The 2,138-nt window shown below is 54.1% G+C and overlaps 1 pseudogene across 1 annotated transcript; it reads right to left on the reverse strand.

Annotated features, from left to right (window-relative positions):
* Positions 1 to 386: 386 nt before the first annotated feature.
* FTHL18P (ferritin heavy chain like 18, pseudogene) lies at positions 387 to 1,304 on the reverse strand (annotated as a pseudogene). Its single transcript, NR_171164.1, has one exon. The product of NR_171164.1 is annotated as a ferritin heavy chain like 18, pseudogene (transcript).
* Between the last annotated feature and the right edge of the window lie 834 nt (positions 1,305 to 2,138).

The raw sequence follows: 2,138 nt of genomic DNA on the forward strand, positions 1-2,138 counted from the left end.
CCTTCCCTTCTTCTCCAGAGGCAAACGCTAGGATGAATTCCATACCATGTTTTACACCGTACCATGCATACGGACCCACAGATACCATGGCCCAACACAGCACACCCCACCCGAACCCACCCACCCCACACATCTCACCCCACCGTACCCCACCTCACCCCACCCCATCCCACACGCCCTCAGAGTTTATAAGGGGAAGACTAATGTATTTTCCAGGGGCCCATAAAATACCTTTCCCCTCCACCCCCGCAGATCCTGAGCTGCATGCAGATGGGGCAGAGCTGAATGGAAAGACTGCTGAATACCTACTTTAAATCTGCATGGGGATGTGCCCTGATTCCTAAAAGGTGAGAGTGCTGCAGACACACATCGGCTGGACACCTTTATTGCTTTGAGAACAGATAACTTTATTGTTAACAATGGTCAAACTGAGAGGAGAAAAATGAAGAGAATGTTCTGAAAAGGCAACATGGACGTCCCGCCTGGTGGCGCGAGCAGGGGAAGGCACCCCATGGCTGAGGGGCCTGTCTGGGCTCAGGTGTGTTTCTGGCTGCGGCCCAGGGTGAGCTTGTTAAAGAGGTACTCTGCCAGGCCTGCTTCCGGGGACCCCATCTTGCGCAGGTTGCTCAGGTAGCCACCCAGCTCTTTGATGGTCTTGGCCTGCTGGTTCAGGAAGTGGTTCTCCAGGAAGTCGCAAAGCTGGGGGTCGCCGTTCTCCTTGGCCAGCTGGTGCAGCTCCAGGAGGCTCTGGTTGATGTTCTTCTCCAGGTGGAAGGCGCACTCCATGGCCTTGAGCCCGCTCTCCCAGCCTTGGCCCTCTGGCTTCCCGACGTCATGAAGGCAGATGCGGCCACCGCGCAGGTTGTGCAGCCTCATCAGCTCCTGGGCGTGCTCCCTTTTCTCCTGCAACTGGCACAGGAAGTAGCAGTCAAAGTGCTCCAGGGCCGCGTCGTCCTGGTCGAAGTAGAAGGCCATGGACAGGTACACATAGGATGCGTGGAGCTCCAGGCTGATGTGGGTGTTGATGGCAGCCTCACAGCTGGGGTGGTGGTACCGTTGCACCTGCGACAGCGGGCCCAGGGCGGGCAGCGCGGGCGCTGGGAGGAGGGGAAAAGCAGTGGGTTTGCCAGGGGCCCGGAGCGGGTAGCGGCATCGGCGTGGGCAGTGGCGGCAGCGGTGGGGTCCTCGGAGCACCACCATGGTGGACGACAGCGGCGGCTGGTGGAGGGCGGGGTCCTCCGGGCCCGGCGGTAGTGTGGTCGCTGATTCTGTGAAGGGACCAGAAGTGGGCGGTGGAGACCGTTATGGGGGGAGGGGCGCACGAGGTCGGGCGGGTGTGGGCTGGTGCGGAGCCATGCGGGACTTCCGACAGGTGGGGGTGGGGGAGCACGCTGAGTTCCATCGGCAGCCCGGGGAACTGGGCGCTATCAGACCTCTGCGCTACGTCAATTCTGCAGTAACTTTTCTAGTGTGCAAGGACTTTTGCCTGTCCCCTGATTGTTCCCCTCTATGACAGCTTGTTCTCATTTTATAAACCTCTTGTCTTTCTTAAACTCTGAGAGTATGTTCTGGTAACGTTTTCTTCTGTTTCCTGTATTATATCCTTTTTTTCCCTCCTCTAGAATTAGTTCTATTTGTGCATCTTCCTCACTTTCCTTAAATATCTGGAAAACGTTTGTCTATTCATGATTGGAATCAAGGACTGGGTTAGCCTCAGTGATAAGCATGGATCGAATGCACAGCTGTGAGTCTGGGTGACCAGTAGGATTCTCCCATGAACAGGAGGGTGGAGTGTGTTAATTAGGGAGTGCTCATCTCCTTTGGAGATAAAGGTATAGAGCTCCCAGGCAGAGTAGGAACTATTCTAAATGCCCAAAGCATGGCATTTCTCTGGCACTGGAAAACTTTAGTGGATCTGTCTTCTAGGTAGATGTCAACTTCCCTTTAAATGCTCACCCATGTCTGCTGCACCCTGAAGCTTAATTCTTTCTGCAGGAGAGATGACTCCACATGATAAGGAATGTGATTTCAGATATGTTTTCAGGATCAAAGCTTAAACACCAGAGTAAAGACTCTGTTTTTAAAATTTATCTCGAAAAGCCCTCTATGTTCACAGTTTTAGGTACTCAATAACTAAT

Source organism: Homo sapiens, chromosome X, assembly GCF_000001405.40.
Source record: "Homo sapiens chromosome X, GRCh38.p14 Primary Assembly".
In the NCBI taxonomy this organism is placed as follows: domain Eukaryota; kingdom Metazoa; phylum Chordata; class Mammalia; order Primates; family Hominidae; genus Homo; species Homo sapiens.